This window comes from Homo sapiens, chromosome 21 (assembly GCF_000001405.40).
Source record: "Homo sapiens chromosome 21, GRCh38.p14 Primary Assembly".
Classification (NCBI taxonomy): domain Eukaryota; kingdom Metazoa; phylum Chordata; class Mammalia; order Primates; family Hominidae; genus Homo; species Homo sapiens.
In genome coordinates this window covers 45,127,197-45,147,586 of record NC_000021.9, presented here as the reverse complement: position 1 = coordinate 45,147,586, position 20,390 = coordinate 45,127,197, and the positions used below count along the sequence as shown (strand labels likewise).

The 20,390-nt window shown below is 48.7% G+C and overlaps 1 protein-coding gene across 19 annotated transcripts in view, besides 3 other annotated features; it reads right to left on the bottom strand.

Annotated features, from left to right (window-relative positions):
• Positions 1-20,390, bottom strand: part of ADARB1 (adenosine deaminase RNA specific B1) — a 151,986-nt gene that overhangs the window by 78,977 nt on the left and 52,619 nt on the right. For 12 of the 19 annotated variants that reach the window (NR_073200.2, NR_027674.2, NR_144483.2 and 9 more), the window contains exon 2: positions 19,014-19,185. The exons of 1 other annotated variant lie outside the window; for it this stretch is intronic. Coding sequence is in view for 2 of the 18 variants with exons in the window: in XM_047440662.1 (XP_047296618.1) it covers positions 12,755-12,791 (37 nt within the window). In the remaining 16 variants the exon portion in view is untranslated. Of the gene's footprint in view, positions 1-2,624; positions 2,957-12,754; positions 12,873-13,921; positions 14,011-19,013; positions 19,186-20,390 lie in introns of those variants that run through there. 6 more of the 19 variants (XM_047440666.1, XM_047440664.1, NR_027673.1 and 3 more) reach the window with 5 other exon arrangements.
• Positions 8,619-8,913: an enhancer, noted in NCBI's record as "tiled region #4412; HepG2 Activating non-DNase unmatched - State 4:PromP, and K562 Activating DNase matched - State 5:Enh". NCBI's record gives its function as "activates a minimal TATA promoter and a strong SV40 promoter by Sharpr-MPRA in HepG2 and K562 cells {active_cell/tissue: HepG2 | K562}" and the evidence as "EXISTENCE:reporter gene assay evidence [ECO:0000049][PMID:27701403]".
• Positions 13,073-13,573: an enhancer, noted in NCBI's record as "H3K4me1 hESC enhancer chr21:46553929-46554429 (GRCh37/hg19 assembly coordinates)". NCBI's record gives its function as "activates a minimal SCP1, AML or CMV promoter by ChIP-STARR-seq in primed H9 embryonic stem cells {active_cell/tissue: H9 hESC(primed)}" and the evidence as "EXISTENCE:reporter gene assay evidence [ECO:0000049][PMID:30033119]".
• Positions 13,574-14,074: an enhancer, noted in NCBI's record as "H3K4me1 hESC enhancer chr21:46553428-46553928 (GRCh37/hg19 assembly coordinates)". NCBI's record gives its function as "activates a minimal SCP1, AML or CMV promoter by ChIP-STARR-seq in primed H9 embryonic stem cells {active_cell/tissue: H9 hESC(primed)}" and the evidence as "EXISTENCE:reporter gene assay evidence [ECO:0000049][PMID:30033119]".

Sequence of the window (20,390 nt, the reverse complement as noted above, 5' to 3'; positions counted from 1 at the left end):
AAGAGGCGTGTGGAAAACATCAGACCACCCCCTTCTCTCTCCAGTCTAAGGTAGCACGTTTTACAGTTTCATATTACAAGTCACCTTGCACAAAATCCTTACCTAAGCACGCATCTGTGCACACATCTGTGCTTAGCTCCCTGCTGGGAGTTCGGGATCTCCTGTTAAATACGGATGCACAGTGTATCCCCAACAGAGGACGTCAAAAGCAACCCACAGGATTAGAACCAAGAAACCACAAAAGGGAAACATAAATGTTCTTTAATTATTTCAAATAAGAAACAATAAAACCTCTTTGGACCTATTTTATAGTAGAAATTCACTTACTGTATTTGAAAACTGTAAGGGGGAATATCTGTAGGTTTATTAATTTAATTATTCCCTTGCCATGCATCAAACAAGTGAGGTGCACAGTTATGAAAAATGACTCCACACTGTGATTAACCAGGTCTGAGAAACTGAGGACTAGCCAGAAGCTCAAAAACACCAGAGCACATGAACTGATCTGGCTGAGAAGACCTAGTCACCAGGTGAGCAGTGCCGTGACCCCTGAGGAGGGGCTGGCCAGGCCCAAGCACAGTGGCTGCTGGGACTAGCTGCACTGTCTCTCCAGCCGAGGCCCCAGGGGTCTCCTAACAGGGACAGAAACAATTTGAGAAGTGGAGCCAGAATTTCTGGAGAAGAAGCCAGAATTTTTACCCAGAAGAAAGCACTTAACATTGTCATGGTTAAGTGCAGTCCAGATCAAGCCAAACACAGGGTAAGAAAAAAGGAAAAGACAGATGGTAAAGAGCTGTCTGAGCTCTGGATTCTTTATGATGAAATTATTCTGGAGAAATAAAGTGCTTATAGAAGTTCGATAAAAACAAGGACTGTTGCTGCCTGGTTGCTGGACACACTCACGTTTTCAAAAGTCCAACTCTCTGCCTTCTCCCTCTGGGTCAGGGTTTTCATCTGATTTGATTTCTACAGGAAGCTGAGCCCAATAGTGGGCTTTAGTCTCTCTAGTTTACCCCCACATCCACCACATCCGTGGAAAGAGGTGGCCAAGACGCCAAGCCACTCCCAGGGAGGCTGCTAGTGGTATTCTGTGTCCTGCCAGCTCTAGCAGGACGCAGCCCCGGGAGAGTCCCGGTCCGGCTGAAACCAGGTTGCCTTGCAACTTCCTATCATCCCGTTTCCCAACTGATGCATAACTCATGACTGTTGCTTTCCTTGAAATGAGAAAAGTATAATTTCCCCATCTCCATTGTAACTCTTACCTTAAAAGACCAAAACTTGTATAGCAAGCCATAATTCAGAAAAGTATATTCAAGAAACAACTTGCAAAGTATGCCTAAACTCCCATACTTTAAAATCCCGGCAGAACGGATCAGGTGCGTCCGAAACCATAACCCCACCACAGGCAGTGACAACAGCCATCTGGCCGTAGGTAATCCCGGCAGAACGGATCAGGTAAGTCCGAAACCATAACCCCACCACAGGCAGTGACAACAGCCATCTGGCCGTAGGTAATCCCGGCAGAACGGATCAGGTGAGTCCGAAACCGTAACCCCACCACAGGCAGTGACAACAGCCATCTGGCCGTAGGTAAAGGCTCCTAGTGAGGAGTCCACAGCTCGGTGAGAACGTGGTCAACATGACTGGCAAAGGTCATGTCAGCTGGCTTGTGTGTAACTTTTCAGGAATCTGGCAGGTCTACTAAATGAGATATGACTTTAAGTGAAAATACGCTAAAAGCACAATCTTCAGAGATACACTGTCATTAAAAGTTCATCTGGGATGACAGTTAACATTGTGAAAGATACCACGGTAAGCTTGTTGAGGGATCCTGCCGGCATCCTCCTGCTGTGTGCCTGTCTTGAGCTCTGGGCACCATCTTGTCAATGAAGGCAGTTGTTCTGTGCTTTCTCACATTCTGTATGTGGCAGTTAGGCATCCAGTCCTCACAGGATCAATTCTATTACGTCCATTTTCTTATTCCTAATGCTTTGGCATTTGTGGGCCTTACAGACACAGGGAGAGACTGGCCCTCCCAGGGCTTATAGCCAGCACAGGGTTCCAGGCAGGTGGTCGGCTCTACCCACCTCCCTTATCTAACTGCCCGCCTGCCCGAAATCACCCCAGGGCCTGGTAGCAGGCAGCTAGTGATCTCTCCTACAGCCCAGGGCCCACTGGAACTGTTCACACTAGCCATTCCTACACGGGTGCCCTGCCCTGCCTTTCCCACAGAAACCCCACTCAGGCTCTGTCCTGGGCTTTCCTGTGGCTCCTTTCTGCCCCTTGACTGACACCAGTGTGCCCCGTGGGCCTGCTTGGCGCGAGTGCCCCCCCGTCTAGGAAACGCAAGTAATAAAAATCTCCTTTCAGTGGCAGAGGCCTCTTGGGATCTGGTTCCTTGGTCACCTCCACAGGCTACAATTCTATGGGCACAAGGGAGACAGAACAGTTCTCAAGATCTCCTTGGTTTAACAATACCAAGTCTACTGGGGCTCCTTTTAGACTAGTCTATAAAACACAAAAGCATGCTACTTTCCTGACTATCACACTGTATAATCCTGTTTGATATTTGTTCTACATTCATATAAAAAGTTAGATTAAAATGGCATTTACATATATTTTACCTTCATTTTCATAAAGAGATCATTTGGTTTTTTCCTCATCAAATGACACAGCCCAATGCACAGTAAATCTTCCTAACATCAAAAATGCATATTTTTGGTTTCTTGAAAGTCAGAGTAATTTAGACTCTCCCGGCATGACAGGACAAGCAGTATCCTAATTGTGGTAAATCTGTGTGCCAGCAAGTGGAAAGGTGCCCTGGTGGGGCACTGGCTCTCTTACTGCATATTAATTCATTTTGTAGTCATTTCACATGAAGTTACCAGAGTTGAAGCAATGCCCTCACAACGTAGCTATGGTTCTCTTCCTTTTTCTTCCCATTTCTTTCTTCCACCTTTAGGATTATTGAAGAGAAACATAAAAATAGAATGTCTGATTCATGAGAATCCAGAAATTCAAAGCAGAATAGCAACGATTTACTGTATCAGGTATGGTTTCTATGATGATTAAACTGACAGTTTACAATTTTAATAAGATACCTTAAAGCTCTTTTTTTCCCAACTTTAAAAGTTCATCAATTTCTGACTTCAGCTGCCATGTCTTTGCAAGTTAATAACTGTTTAATTCTAGGAGAATGTCACAAATAGCCATACACCATTTAGCATCTGACATTCCTGGTATCTAATTAATTTTATTTTTATCTATGCCCTCAGAGTAAAGTTCTAAAATTTAATGTTCCCAGAATATTAATTTAGGAAAACTCTTAAAAGCATTTTTCTACTCTTATAAGAAGGGGAAATATGAGTTTATTAGAATTCTAAAATCTCTATGAGAGTAATTTACTCATTATTTACATAAAATCAACACATGGGAAATTGTAACATTACTTAACGTAATATTAAAGTACCTCAGAAATGTCTGTCAATAAGAAAAGTAGCAAATATTCATTCATCTAACTATTTACTGAGCATCTACTATGTACCAGTACTGTCCTAAATGCCTGAGATACATCAGTGAACAAAGACGTTAACATCTGCTTTCCTGGAGCTTATGTTCTAATAAGGAAAAAAAAAGACAACTGACAATGGGGACAATGGGGGTCATAAAAGATGAACTGCCGTCAAGTGTCAGGGGACAACAGTGGCTGTTATTCTAGGATGATGGCTGGATGTGGGAGGGCAGTAGTGGCGATGCCATTGCGGAAAAGACTGCAGCGAGGTGGTGAGGAAGCTGGCCGTAAGACAGCTGGGAAGAGTGTTCTCTTCTGGGAAGAGTGAAGAAAGGAAGATGGAAGGTTCTAGGTAGCCGCAGCACCTGAAACCGCCCAGGAACAGCCAGGCAGCCAGTCTGACAGCAGCACAGTTAACAGAGAGTGAGAGGAGACGGAGGTCCAGCGGCTCTGCACATGGGACCTCCTGGGCCACAGTGAGGACATGGCAGTCATATGGTGGCAAGAGACTGTGGCAGCATCTTGGACACGGGCTTTAATCTAGTTCTGACCTAGTTTTAAAAGGAACACTCAGGCCAGAGTAGGGGACAGGGGCACAAGAGGCATGTCCTGAAGGCACCGCCCACAGGCCTCCTGGCTGCCATGTGGGATAGAAAAGAAAGGATAGGCCACCTTCAGCCTGAGAGCCTGGAAGGAAGGAGCTGCTGAGATGGGAAGATTATGGCAAGGCAAGGGAATGAGAATTTGGATGTCTTAAGTTGTGGAGGTCTATAGATGCCTGAGAGAAGATGCTGCTGGACTTGGGGTCTGAGTTTGGAGAGCAGGGGGAAGGTGTGGGACTCACCTGCAGAGGTGATGCTGGGTGCAATTCCTGAGTGAGGAGCACAGTGCCAGGAGGTTAGGAGAGGAAGAAGCAGGGAGCCAGGAAGGGCACCTGCCGAAGCAGAGGGCACAGGAAAAGTCGGCTGAGCGATGGCCACCTGCCAATCACTACACATGCATTTGCTCATTTAAACATCATCAAATCTCAGTAAAGGAGACTGAGGTTTCAGAGCAGCAGGCTGGACACGGCTGCTACTTGTTTTACAAGCATCGCAGATGCCATTGGAGCTTTGGCCTTTGTGGGTGGAGGCTGCACAGCTGTGCAGCATGGCCATGGTGTTGGTAAAGTAGTAACCAGCACAGAGTCACTAGCTGGTCCCCCTGGTCAAAGCCCTGCTCCCTCTTCTATTAGCCAAGGGCCGTAGGCAATTTCTTACCTTCTGGGCCCCTCAGATCCCCCTGCAAAACACATGACGGAGCCAGGCCACACCCCTGAGTTCATGGGGGGACCAAGCAAGGACGCCGCTTAGGCCGCAGCAGCTGCACACCCAGTAGGCAGATCCCACACGGCTCCCACCACCTCATGGGGAGCAGCCTGGCAGCCAGCTGGGCTGAGTCACTGCCCAAGGTCACATGGTGGCCATGTGCTAGGATCCACTCCAAATCCAGAGCTCTCCAACCTGGGGACCCACACTCCACCCCGCTACAATGCTGCCCAGTTAAAGAAAAAACACAACTACTTATTTTCTCAATTAAGATTCCTTACAATATTAAGTCAAGTAACATATTTCTTTACATAAACACATTTCTGTTTTCTGAATGAGAATGGTTTCAAACAGAACAGACTAAGTATAACTTTCAGTCTACTTGCAACATTCCTCTACTTCTTCAAACAAATGAATTCAATTAAGCTTTTTCCATTGGCTTTAAAGGTGACTTTACCATGCAACTTAGGGTTAAAAATCAAAGTCTACACTTCTCAAATGAGTATAGCGGGTGTTCGATTTGAAAAACAAAAAGAAGGCAGGAGCCCAAAAAAAGGAGACACTTGAATTGAGCGACCTTAATTAGCTGCAGTAGCATAATGTGGCTTAAAGCAAGCAAGCACCCACAGACAGTGACCAAGGGTGGCTCAGGTAACCCAGGGGTAGACAAGGTGACCCAGAGTGGCCAAGGTGGCCCGGGGGTGGCTAAGGACACCCAGAGGTGGCTACAGTGGCCCAGGGGTGGCTAAGTGACCCACAAACAGCTAAGCTGACCATGAGTGACTAAGGTGAAAGGGTGGGTAAGGTGACCCACAAATGGCTAAGGTGATCCTGGGGTAGCTAAGGTGACTCACTGGTGGCTGAGGTAACCCACAGGTGGCTAAGGTGGCCCTGGGATGGCTAAGGAGACCCTGGGGTGGCTAAGGCGACCCAGGGATGCTAAGGTGATCCTGTGGTAGTTAACATGGCCCAGGCGTGGCTAAGGCGACCCAGGGATGCTAAGGTGACCCTGGGGTGGCTAAGGTGACCCAGGGATGCTAAGGTGATCCTGTGGTGGCTAACATGGCCCAGGGGTGGCTAAGGCGACCCAGGGAGGCTAAGGTGTCCCTGGGGTGGCTGGAGGGACCCACGGGTGGTGAAGGTGGCCCACAGGTAGCTCAGGTGGTACTATGCTAGCAGCAGAGGACAACTCAAACCTAGGGGGACTATCACCCTTGAAGGACAGCTCCATCCCCATTTACAGACTCTGGGAAACTTTTTAAATTCTTATGAGCTCTGAATATAAATTTGATACTAAACTGGAACATACATTGACAGGTATTTCTTTAAAGATTCTTAGGCATTATTTAAAAATAATGCTTTCTATAACTGGCTACTAAAAATAAAACAGAATGGCAATCCTTTGAAATATATTCTGTAAAACCACTACTACATATTTAGATCATGAGAGTATAGGCTAATTTTTTGCATTTTAACATAATTATTACCTATTTGGAATATTAAGCTTAAAACAATAGAATCATAAAATTATGTTACACAAAGACTACACAGCAAAGTCACAACTTTTTTTTTTGAGACAGGGTCTCGCTCTGTCGCCCAGGCTGGAGTGCATTGGCACAATCTTGGCTCATTGCCACCCGTCTCCTGGGATCAAGCAATTCTCCCACCTCAGCCTCTCGAGTAGCTGGGACTACAGGCATGTGCCACCATGCCTGGCTAATTTATTTTTACTTTTATTTTTTGTACAGACAGGGGTTCACCATGTTACCCAGACTGGTCTCAAACTCCTGGGCTTAAGCAATCCTCCTGTCTCAGCCTCCCAAAGTTCTAGGATTATAGGCTTGAGCACCACACCTGGCCACAATTTTTAGAATTGCAAAAGATGTACAAAACTTCTCATTCCATAACACAATCAGCCCCTTCCGCAGACTTAATTTATTATATCAAATTTATAAATTACTTGATAAAATTTTATTTACAATTCAGATCACTCACTGAATTAAACCAGCTATAAGTATTCCATCTCATTGCTTCACAGGTCCTCTAAATGGTAAAAATGAAGCCAGGGAACAGAAAGCTTTCTGAAGGAAACTGGCTTCTGGACGCACACTGGAATGCACACACACATACACTCACGCACACACACACAGATGGTGTAAAGACAAGAGGTTTGTCCTGGTGGCCACCGCTCAGAACGCCACTGAGCCTCCTCCACTGAGTCTTAGAAGCGGCCCTACAGCACCATCTGCTGTTCTGCAGAGGTCACTCAACGCTCCACACCACAGCAACCAAGCCAGGAGCCACCCAGAAGCTACAAGGCATGGGCTGCCAGGGGCGGACCTGTACCTCACAGCCTGGTCTAGGTGCTCTGCTGAATACAAACCATCTGATGGGACATCAACATCAGACAAGGTCGCCCTGGGCCCTGATGGGTAGGACATCTGCACGGGGTAAGAGGAAACTTTTTGGGGTAAGAATATTCTCTACCTCAGCTGCTTGGTGGTGTGGCACTGGCATACATTTGTCAGAATATATTAGAGTGCACACTTTAGAAGAATGATTTTTGGCTGGGTTGAGGTGGGTGGATCACCCGAGGTCAGGAGTTTGAGACTAGCCTGGCCAACATGGCAACACCCCATCTCTACTAAAAATACAAAATTAGCCGGGCATGGTGGCGGGCGCCTGTAATCCCAGCTACTAGGGAGGCTGAGGCAGGAGAATCGCTTGAGCCTGGAAGGCAGAGGTTGCAGTGAGTAGAGATCATGCCATTGCACTCCAGCCTGGGTGACAAGAGCGAAACTCTGTGTCAAAAAAAAAAAAAAAAAAAAAAAAAAAGAGTTTTATTGTCTGTACATTTTACCTCAGTAAATCCAATTTTAAAAAAATCAAGAGATCCCAGAAGAAAACAAATTCTATAAGAAAGGTAAGTCTCAATTTGAAATAAAATAGAAAATACACATATTTCAAGAAGAATGAATTAAATGGGTTCCAAGAAACAGAATGAATAAGCTGGAAAAGGCTGGCGATAGCATAAGAAAGGCAGTGGTCCCTCTCAACAAGAGAACACGGAGAGGCAGAAGTGCTGATGCTCAGGGCCCACGGGCGCACGCGGCCCCACACTACCACTCACCACGCTCGCTGCGCCCGACAGGCACCTTCCCTGCCCCACGTGACAGAGGAGGAAGCTGAGCATGGGAGTTGAGACACTTGCTCGACCGCTGGATCCAAACTCAACTCCATTCCCCACTCTGCTCTACCACTCCATGCCAGGCAAGAATATGGGAAAAAGAGAAAACGGAGCCAAAAAATCAAGGAAACCAGGAGAAAGAGAAAACGGAACCAAAAAAATCAAGGAAATCAGGAAAAAGAGAAAACAGAACCAAAAAATCAAGTATACCAAATCCAAGTATAAAGCAAATTAAACTGTGGCATGACTTTCAGCAATCGTCATAATAATATAAGTGCCATTTATGAATTTGGAACTTTGATTGAACCAAGGTTACAGAACAGAAGAAGTTTTCTACTTTGGTAACACAGAAGACAAACAAGGCTGGGAGCAGTGACTCACGCCTGTAATCCCAGCACAGTGGGAGGCTGAGATGGGTGGATCACCTGAGCCCAGGAGTTCAAGACCAGCCTGGGCAACACAGCAAAACCCCGTCTCTACAAAAACTACAAAAATTAGCCAGGCATGGTGGCATGCGCCTGTAGTCTCAGCTACTCAGGAGGCTGTGGCAGGTGAATCGCTTGAACCCGAGAGGCGGAGCTTGCAGTGAGCCAAGATTGTGCCACTGCACTCCAGCCTAGGCAACAGAGCGAGACTCTGTCTTAAAAAAAAAAAAAAAAGAAGACAACAAACTGACAGAGGTCAGACAAACTGACACCACCGAGGAGCTGAGGGCCAGATAAGTGCTTCTGCTGCCTTCCATGCAGGAAACTGAGAGGCCGCCCAGGGCCCACAGGCCACGAGCACATGGGCCACTCAGTCTCTAGGATGACCAGCAGGGGGCGTGGTTTCAGGCTTGGTAAGCTGATCCAGTGCTCGTCCTGAAGCCCTTTCCCCTACCCCTCTACCAAGGGTGCCACAAAAATGAAAGGCTCATTTTCTGTCTCTTTTGTGACTAAAGCTGGCCACAAAACACACTTCTTGCCAAGGAGAAAGACACAGTTCTGGTGAAAGACAGGTGAAAATATGCTGAGGGCTTCCACAATGTCTCTGACAAAAGGAATAGACAAGAGCTCCACGGCCTGCTCCTTCTCAGTTGTTCCTGCCTTAAACACAGAAGTGGTGTCTAAAGCTGCTGCTGCTGTACTGCAGCGATACTCACCCAGAGCCCTAAGATGGCTGAACTCTGGACTAGCTCTAGCAAACTCCTCCCTCTGGATTACTTACGACATAAGAAGTGCGTATATACATCCAAGGTGTGTAAGATACTGTGAGTCATGCTGTGACCTTCACCCAGAATCAATCCTAAATGATACAGGAAAAGAAGGTTGGAGAAACGTCACGGAGCTAAATCCTCCTCCATGTGAACTAACAGTGCACAGTTAATGTCTAAAGTTCATAAATCAAACAATAGCAAGTGCAGGATGCAGCCCTTTCTCTTGGTTAAGCTCCTATTATGTTGCATCTCTGTCACTTATAGCCAATCCTAATACTAATTAATATAGAAATACAAATATCTAAAATGCATTTTAAAAAATCAGTGATGCCACTGAGGAGGGCAAGAGCTATACTCTATCGCTTCTCATCAAAAGCCCTTCTAAGTTTGAGGGCATCACTCCCATAGAAATTGAAATTAAGCACAGGTCTGCCCTTTTCCTGCCCCCAGCAGGCCCAGCCTCTCCCTCCCCTCCAGCCCACCAGGCTTCTGGAGTCATATCCAGAGCCCCTCCTGCCTGGGGTGCCCACCTCCCATGCCATCTCCCTGGAAAACAAACCCAGCTTTCCAGACTTGCTGCAACCCTACATCCATGAACTCTCCTGCCCTGCCTCCTGGGCACACCTCCTTCCATCCCCACTTTCCTCACAGTGCCACCATCATCACAGGCTTCCTCCCCTCCACACCCACCAGGCTGTTCACATGCAGTGGGCAGAGACTGTATCTGAACCCTCAGAGCCTCAATCAGGGGCAAGGCAGAGGCCAAGCTCCATCACTGAACGCAGACATCCTCACACCGTCCTCTGAAGAGACTTCAAATGTTTTATTTTAAATCGGATTGATGGGCCTTCACACATCAGGGGACTGTTGGTCACTAAAGCACAAAGCTCCTGGCACACCCGAAGGGCCACCCACGTACCCTCAGACCAAGGAAGGGCAGCCAAGGGGCAGGAATGGCCAAGAGCCCCATCCCCACCACCAGCATGGCGATGGCGTAGGTTAAGAAGGGGGTCAGCAGTCATCAGTCTTCCAGAACTCTCGACATATCAGGATCACAAGCGGCTGCAGGCTGGAACCTCAGCCTCCAGCACCTTACACAGGGGAATCTGCCCACAAGAGGGAGCTGCTGTGTCACTCCGAGTCCCTCCATGTAGAAAAAGCCTTTGGGAACTACTGAACAGAAGTAAATTCAGATTGTCCTGGATCTACACGTGAATCTTCTCACTTCTTGCCTTTTACACACACACCAGTCTTCAAGGTCTGGATTCATTACTTTTAGTTTAGTCATGCTCAGAGCACAGCAAAGCTAAAAGAAAATTACCAATTTCTAAGAACTTCAGATATTTATGATTTTACACCCAACAGTGTGTATTTTGTTAAATTCTTATCTATTCAAGTCATACTTCTGTGGTTAATTGTGTACTTCTTCAGAACCTTAAAGCCACATATAAACTGGGAATCCAACCACTTCTTAGGAATTTTTTTAACTTGATGCTGTTTAAACCAAGCTTTACTCAGATTATTTTTTAAGTAGAAAACAATCCCAAGTCACAAACTCCCTTGTTCCACACCTACCTACCAGTGTCCCTGGCCCCTGTGGACACCAGCTGGGGGCGGGATTCTCCCTGCAGCGCACACACCAAGCAACCTGGGGGAGAGCGGCAGGGTGCCTCCTCTGGGTGCGGGGACACCCCTGCTCTCCCAGCAGCCGCTGGCTGGTGGGGCAGCTCTACTGTTTTCTACCCCCGCCAGCTGTCCCCACAGGACTGGTCTGTCCCCACATTTGTCCCCAGGCCTCGGTCAGTGCCTCCCCACAGGGGCTCAGTACATGTTTGTTGTTAAAGGAATGATTCTCTCTTGAGCGCTGCTACAGGTTCTGAAACATGGTGCCGGGCGTAGCAAACATCACGACTCCACAGCCCACTTCACAAGCAGCAGTTCCACTTGTCTGCACCACTTGACGTTATTTTCCCTAAATCTGGTGTATCTGTAGTTCTTCCCTGTCATCTCAGCTTAGGCTGAGGCCCCAGGTCTGAGGAAGAAGAATGCTAAGGGTCCACATGTTTTTAAGAGCAGGGTCTCCCCACCCATCATGTAGAGCTTGCTGGAAGCCTGGAAAGCCTGCCCTGCTGTCCCTCACTCATTCCCGCACGAGGGCACCTGACAGGAGGCCAGAACCAGAGCTCAGAGACAGTGGACCTGTCCTAAGAGAGCGAGTCCTCACAGCAGCTGGCCACCAAGAAGGGGAGGGAGTTCGTGGTCCTCCACTCCTTCCCCTGGTTTTACTCCCCTCCCTCCGATCCCTCTGATCCCTCCCACCCCCATGGGCCCAGGGACACCACAGGATGAACACAGGCGCATATGACTCACATTGTGTCCCTGCTCTGATGCTGCCTAGTCCCGTGGCTGCTGGCGGCCTCTAAAATTAGAAGGGTCTTTGGAAAGGGGCTGTGCATGGTCAGATTTTCAGGACAGCACTCAGCTTCACCCACCCCCATCACAGAGGACCCACCGGGGAGGGTGAGGGGCAGCACAGTCTCCACTGGGCCCACCTGCAGTCCAGGACCACAGGACCCACAGAGGGCCCTCTTGACTGTGGCCACACCTTTCTGCTGACATTCTACACTTCATATGTTTTTTTTCCAATTTTTCTAATACATTTCGAAATGTGGATGGCAGACTTGTCAGTTCCAGAAAGCCTTTCTCGCACTCTGCCTTCATCTTCTGAGGCCTCACTTTGCTTTTCGACCTAAATTAGGTCCTGTCTCTTCTAGTCTTTCTGCTTCATTAGGGGCTACTCTGTCTATCTACCGCTCACGGTTTTGAGGTCACCAACTCAGGACCCCGTATCTGTATGCACTGACAGGCAGGCAGCACACAGTGGTCCTGCTGAAAGCAGCAGTTTGGTCTTTTCCTCTTAAATCACTGAGTCCTCTGAGATTCCCTGGAAGGAGATATTCTCCACCTGTTTATGGTTTTAACTCCCCTCAGTATGCAGCCACACTAAGGGGTGCCAGGAGGATGCAGACAGCTGACAGTTGTTGTCATTCTGGCAGGCCGGTCAGCACACGGAGTGTGGAGGCCTCTGCCAAGGAACAGGGCGGAGGGCTCTCTCTGCCCTGTGGGTTTGAATGCAGCCAAAGCATCTTGGGATCTGGAAATCCTACCCAGCACACAGTCCTCCATGAGAACTTCCAATTCCAGAATTAGTAGAACTGGCAATCCAGACAAGGCCCCATCAGCAAGCAGGCCCCTTAGAGCAGGTCTGCCCATTTCTATAAACCTTTGGCTTTGCAGACCACTTATGGTCTCTGTTGCAGATTCTTCCTTTTCTGTTTGTTTTATAACTCCTTAAAAATGTAAAAACCATCCTTAGCTTTCAGGTCCCAGAATCTGCTCACAGGCTACAGCCTGCCAGTCCCTGCCCCAGGAGACCCACCTGGGCATCTGCAGAGGTGGCTCTGCCCAGGCAGCAGGGGACTCACCCAGCTGTCAACGGCAGCCAGGGGTGTGGTGCTGGGTGCCCCTGACCACAAATGCCATCACCCACTGACCTGGCTGGCAAGGCGTCTTCATCCTCGGGATCTTCATCACTCATGGGCCTGGCCTCTAGGGGGTCCTCAATGCTCGCTGGATGAATGAGGGTGTGCTCATTGGCCATTTCAATTTCATCTTGTGTAAAAAAAAAAAAAAAAAATCTGTGCAAGTCTTTTGCCCCAAATTCTACTGTACTGCCTTGTCCATAGGGATCTGTAGGATTCTTCATGTACTATGGACCCTGAACACTAAGCCACGCCTCTGTCAGGCATATGCCTCTGCTGGGCGCACACACCTCTGCCAGGTGCACACACCCATGTCAGACACACACACACGTCAGGCACACACACCCCGAGTGTACGTACCCCTGCCGGGCGCTCACACACCCATGTCAGACACACTCCTGTCAGGCGCACACACCCGTCGGGCGCACACACCACTGTCGGGCACACACACCCATCGGGCGCACACACCACTGTCGGGCACACACCCCCGTCGGGCGCACACACCACTGTCGGGCACACACCCGGCGGGCGCACACACCACTGTCGGGCACACACCCCCGTCGGGTGCACACACCACTGTCGGGCACACACCACTGTCGGGCACACACCCGGCGGGCGCACACACCACTGTCGGGCACACACACCCATCGGGCGCACACACCACTGTTGGGCACACACCCAGCGGGCGCACACACCACTGTCGGGCACACACCCCCGTCGGGCGCACACACCACTGTCGGGCACACACCACTGTCGGGCACACACCCGGCGGGCGCACACACCACTGTCGGGCACACACACCCATCGGGCGCACACACCACTGTCGGGCACACACACCCGTCGGGCGCACACACCAGTCGGGCACACACCCCCGTCGGGCGCACACACCACTGTCGGGCACACACCCCCGTCGGGCGCACACACCACTGTCGGGCACACACCCCCGTCGGGCGCACACACCACTGTCGGGCACACACCCCCGTCGGGCGCACACCCGGCGGGCGCACACACCACTGTCGGGCACACACACCCATCGGGCGCACACACCACTGTCGGGCACACACACCCATCGGGCGCACACACCGTCGGGCACACACCCGGTGGGCGCACACACCACTGTCGAGCATACACCCATCGGTCGCACACACCGTCGGGCACACACCTCTTTCAGGTACACACCTGTCAGGTACAGGTAAGACAAATTCTTTTCTCAGTCAGTGCAGTGTTAGCATCCTGCCCCTGGGGTACACACCTTGTACACTCCCCTGCCTTGCAGGCGGGAGGAACTGTGAACATGATGGGATATAGTGTTACATAAGGCAAAGGTGAAGGGATTTTACAGATGCAATTAAGGCATCTCATCAGCTGACTGAGTTCATCAAAAGGGAGATTTTCCTGGGTGGGCCTGGCCTGATCAGGTAAACCCCTGAAGGATGAGAGAAGTCAGAGAGGAAAGGAAGAGGGGAGACCCTGCCTATACGCCTTGAGAGGCAAACTGCCATGCTGGGAAGAGGGCCACAGGGCAGGGGCTATGGGCAGTCTCCAGGAGCCAAGCGCCACAGGCCTATGGTCACAAGGAACTGAGCTCTGCCAAGAGCCAGTGGGCCTGAAGAGGACCCTCAGTCAGAAGCAACGGCAGCCCCTGCTCAATACAGGCACCTTAACTCCTGACACTTCAAGGAACAGAATCAGGGGCTCAGGCTTCTGAACAGAGGCTGACACCCCTTCGACAACTGTCCGATTCCACCAGGGAAACGAGCCAGGCTCACCAGGGCTTTGCGCCCAGAAGCACATGACTGTGAAAACTTGACAGATGAGCCGCCACCCAGCAGACAGGAAGGAAGGAAGACTGGAGGAGCTGGCAGGGAAACGCTGACTGTGGCTTTGGAAGATTGTCGGTATTTTCTTTTATGGTGTATTTTCTAATGTGCGCTCAAAGAAGCCCCTTCTCTTTCTTCTTCGTCTATCTCTAGCCCTAAATCCAGTAGACTCTGCTTTCAAAGCTGAAATAAAACACTCTCTAGGTAACATCTTACTCTCCTGAACTTTCAGAATTCAGGAACACTCATGCTAAGACACTTTACTCTTCCTGACAATGGAGTTTACTGCATAGGTTCAGTAAGAATTTGTCCTCCTTTTTACTTGGATGTAACCGGACAAAAAAAATGTGCCACCAACCCCACATCTGGAGTGTCACATCTGAAAGTGAATCCCTCACATCCCCTAAGCCCACCCACAGGAAGGATCTGTGCCCTGGGGAGCCAGTGCCCACCCAGCCCCCACAAGGTAGCAGGCCTGGTCCCTGTTCTATAACTTATGGGGGCCCAGAAAATTGTGAGGGCCTCAAGTTAAAGAAATTCAACATTTTTAAAAACTATGGGCAAAACCTGGTGTGGATACATTTCTTGGGTCTGGCTTCCTAGTTCCAGGGTAGAAGAACAAATAAAAGCAATCTTAAAACTCTCTGGAATGACAGAGGCTACTGGAAAAGCCATCTTAGTTCCTCACAAAGCTTCAGACAGAAATGAATCCTCTGACCTGGCCAGCTGCTCTCCCACTGCCGACCTTCCAATAGGACGCCACCTGAGCTGATGCGAATCAATCAGGCCCAACACCACACTGACAGCTTCCTGGTGACAGGGGTCATGCCAGAAAAGCACATTCAGAGACTTCTCGTTCTTGGCCAAATTTTTACTTTAAAATTTCAGTAATCTTTTGGAATATTTAGATACTAAAACATCACCTTTGCTCAGTTGGTTATTTTAGTCAATAAATTACTTTGAAGGAAGAAAAATGTCAAGTTTTTGTCACAATATCTGAGGATCCAGAATTAGCATCCTTACAATAATGTGCTTCATTCGAAGGCCCTCATTGGCCTGACCATCCACCCGGACTGCCCATCTCGAGAACCTCCACACAGAGAAGAGCCCCGCAGAGGCTTGCGGAGCTCTGCGCCAGGACACCGCCAGGCACCAGGACAGAGGTCAGCACACAGGACACCCCAGGGAGGGCACCTCCACGCTGTGTAAGCCTTGAATGACGGCTCTTTCCTTCTGGCCCCAAGAGCCCCTCTGAAAAGTGCCAGCCCCTAAAGACGCAGCTGCCTCTTGGCACTGGGCTCCATGCCCCTCCTCACTTCTCCTTTCAGTCAAGGCTTCGAGAGAACTTTAGTTCCTGACCAGTCGGTCAGGCGGCCACACCACACTGTGCACAGAGCAGGAGGCGGCAGCGATGCCCGGTGGTAGCAACAGGTAGCAACATGAGAAGTGGCGTAGGCATCATGGTGACATGGGCACTCCTAAACCTCCTGGAGGGAGCAGGGCCACCCCGGAAACAAGGAACTGTCCTGCACAAAAGGACTTCCATGCAGGTGGAAAGGCTGCTCATAATTCTCTAAGCCCAGCCCAGCTGAGTTTTGGATTGACACAATGCATTTTTCTATACTTTTAACATACACTCAATGTTCCAGAAATACAGAGACTACCTAGAGACAGGGAAGACTGAACACTGCTTCCTTCAGGTTTGACCATTTCAGAAAGTAATGCCACTCAGCTCTATTGCTTATGGTTTTCAGGTCACCAGCTCAGTACCTACCCCACATCTGCCTGCACTGACAGGCCCACACCACTCAGTGATCCGAGTGAAAGCAGCAGTGCCTAAATGTCCATACAGTGGCATAGAAAACTATTTTATTATGTATCTTCAGTTTCTCTTTATATTACATTTCAGCATGACACTGCTTTTTAACATTATATGGCTATAATTATATAAGGTAATATCTTCTGTGAACTTCATTTTAAAATAAAAAGATGAGTTAATAAATATTTGTTACAAAAAGAAGATGTGGTGTGGGGTGGCAATGAGAAAGACTGAGAAAGCTTTCCAGGCTTCAACAAGAGTCAAGGTTTCCCGAAGCCCTCCTCAGCAATTCCTCTTGCGCAGGGGAATTACTATAGGAATTCTATCTATTGTATCCCCCCAAGATGTTCCAGCCTCAGAAGATAATCTCATGTATAAAAACACAAGAAATAACTTCAGTCTTTTCAAGCAAAAAGAAAGGCAAAAACAGTGAGTCTGCCTGAAACTAAAAATAACTCCCCACAGCCCTGCAGTGCGACCTGTGGCTACACGGCACAGACAGCACTAAGGCAGGACCCGGGAGGGAGGCTCAGAGGGAAACCAGACAGTGCAGTGAGGCTGAGGACGGCCGTGCTTCCAAAGATGTTCCAGCCAAAATCTTTCATGTTTATTTATTTTTATTTAAACCACCCTGAAAAGGGAAAAGAATAACACGCCAAACTGTTTGCTGCCGAAATTAGCTCTTATTTTATGAAAGAAAGGAAATACACGATTTCTATTCGCAGCTAGCATTTAGTAACACAGAATCAGGAGGAGGAGATATGACTCATCATGTCGTAATATTTTATAATTTCCAGCTCTTCAGTTTTGCTTTCTCAGCACATGCTTTAGATATCTCCTTCTGGCCTGATTATTTTTTCTATGCTTTTAAGAACAATTTATTGGTGCAAAGGATTATAAATAATTCATTTCTCCAATGCACAGTTATATTATATAAAAATACTTGCTATTTCACATATATGGCATAATTAATGCAATGTTTTACTTCTGTGGCATGTTAAAAATAGGTAGTCACAAATCGACACTTAACTTAGCAATATTAAACCACAACGTCTCTTTCAGACTCATTCCAACTCTGGGATCCTCATTCTTTCAATAACCTCTGGTTACAGAGAAGCTGATTTCCTATCACTAATTAAGCTAGAAGAAGCGCTGTGGCTGAAAATAAAATCCCATCCCACAGCACAAGCCATGATAAAGGTGACCTGATTTTGACCTTCCCATACTTGGACTGCCTGTGTACCCCCCCAAAAAAAGCATCGGTTGAAGATAAAGCCTCCTTTAAAGGTCTCGCTAGGGAACCAGTTACCTGAAATTCCTGACATTTACAGACAGAAATGGCAAGCAGGACCTTTGCTGGCACAAACTCAAAACCCAGTAGTCAGACATGGGTGTGTCTCTACTCCCCAAAGACGGCGTCCCCCCTAGGCTCCCAGCCACTCTCATCCATCCACGCTCACGCCCTGGTGACCGCCCCCTACCTATGGCTCTGCACCAGCCACTCCCATCTGTCCACACTCACGCCCTGGTGACCGCTCCCTCCCCACAGCTCTGCATGCCATCCCGAACTCCCAGGCGGGAGCACGGCTGTGTCCAGTGAGCGGCTCACATGAGAGCTGCCAAGCGAGCGCCTGGTCCCTGCCATGCCCAGAGGGCATCTGAGGCCCAGTGGGCGCTCGTCAGTATCCACAGAGCAAATGGACACAGGAGCACACCTGCGTTCCTCCAGCCAGCAGCAGCCCTCTGACACCTTCTCTTTCCCCTCATCTCATCTGAACCCATGAAAAAGCTTCCCTGGAAATGTACAACTGGACTTCCTGAGTTAGTCACTCAGCTGCTCATAAGTAAATTAATCTGACACCATACTAATTTTACTGGGATTTTAGTATTTGTCACAACTTCTCTCAAAAGCAGACGCTGAATCATGAGATAGTCGCCAAAAATAAGTACTAAAGAAATGTTCTTCTTTTTTTTTTTGAGAAAGAGTCTTGCTCTGTCACCCAGGCTGGAATGCAACGGCATGATCTCAGCTCACTGCAGCCTCTGCCTCCCGGGTTCAAGCGATTCTCCTGCCTCAGTCTCCCGAGGCTGGGACTACAAGCGTGCACCATCACACCTGGCTAATTTTTGTATTTTTGGTAGAGATGGGGTTTCGTCACGTTGGCCAGGCTGGTCTCAAACTCCTGGCCTCAAGTAATCTGCCTGCCTCAGCCTCCCAATGTGCTGGGATTACAGGAAAATTTTCTTTTAATTACTCCTAAGAAAATAATAATTGATGGTAAAAGGCTTTCACCAAGTCTAGTGCCCGGCATGAAGCACTGACTCAATAAATGGTGAACTGACCCCAAAGAGGGCAGCAAGTGCCACACATGCCACTGGAGGGCAGCAGGTGCCACACATGCCACTGGAGGGCAGCAGGCACCACCCCAGAACAAGCAGGAGGGACTCATGGGTGAGCTAAGGCTGCAGTAAGATTAGAAATCAACCAACAGTAACAGATCATCTGTGCCGGGAAGTATTCAATAAAGCATCTTTCAAAGGCAAGCCAAAAGGCTTAATTAAGCGGTTTATATCAAGAAAAAGGCATTTCTACCAGTCAGATTTGATCAGATCTTTACAGGTTTTTACTCACCTTGAAATTTTTCTAGCTTTATGTCTGCTCTGATCCCAAGGCAGCTTCCTTCGGTGCGAGCGGACTGAGAGAGTATCTCAGCAGGACTGAAGTAAGCAGAACTCCGCGCTTGGCCAGTGTGTCTCCTTCAGTTGCCCCTTAAGCTCTCCATGCCAGCCTGAAAGGCTCCACTCTGTGTAACAGAGAGATTCGGTAACTTCACACTTGTTTGATTCAGTATCAAAAGCTTTGTCACCATTTCAGAAGTGAACTCTATAACAATAAATACTCTCCATGAAAAGTCTTCTAAATACAAATTTAAGTTATTTTAAATGTACTCTTCCGAATCTGTAAAGGGGATATGCGCAATCCATCACGTCTCCGTCCGTCTGCCTGCAGCAGGTAGAGGCACCTGTGACAGACGGAGGCAGATCGCTGCCAGCCCAACATCTCGGCATCAGCGGCACCAGGCCACACACTGAGGACTGGAGTCTCAGGCAGAATCTCACACGTACTCATCTTTTTTACAATTCAATATGCACACACCCCTACACATGCACACATGTGAATGTGAGTCCAGATACAGAGACGCACCATCCCTGCACGTGCTCTGCCCGGGTTTGGAAGCTACAGGCCACCTCTGCTTCTGAAGCAGAGGTTGTGAAACAGTATCTCCATCTAGTTTCTGCTCTGTGTGAAAGCGTTTTCAACCAGCAAGCCATTAGAGAAAATGTTTCAACATGCTAATATAATTATAAAACCTCAATATGGAGTATTAAAATTTTCTTCCTGAAAAGCAAACTGATATCCAAAAGAAGGGGAAGTCTGCAATGGGTTTCTCCATTGCAGAGTTCCAAAGAGAAGTCTCTGGGAGGTGTGTCCAGGGGTGAGCGGGTTTCTGAGTGGGAACCTGGAGGAAGGAGGTGAAGTGTGGGATAAGGTGCGCGTGAAAGTGGCTCGACTCTCGCTATGCAGACTTGGCCAGGCCATCACAATGCGTTCCTGCTGCCCCGGTCGCTGCTGCAGTCCTCAGAGGAGATTGGAGGCTACCTTCCAAACCTCCCACCTGTGACCAGCTGACATTCATCTACAACACACGTCAGCTCGTCTGCTGGGACAGACCTAAGACACAGAGACAAGCTCACCTGTGTCCTGCACTAGCACCATCAAGTCAAATGGGCTGTCACTGAAAATGCTCTATCAGCCTGGAATTACAGGTCACAGAGTCATCTTGTCCAGCACAGAGAATGAGGGCCACATGTCCAGAACTGTCCCCACTATCAATGACCCCCATCATCCCCACACCAGATTCAAGCTCCCAAATCACCCTCCCCAGCGGTCCCAATCACCACGCCTGGGTGGAGAGTGTCAAGAAGTGCAAGGACGTTGGCCTCTGAC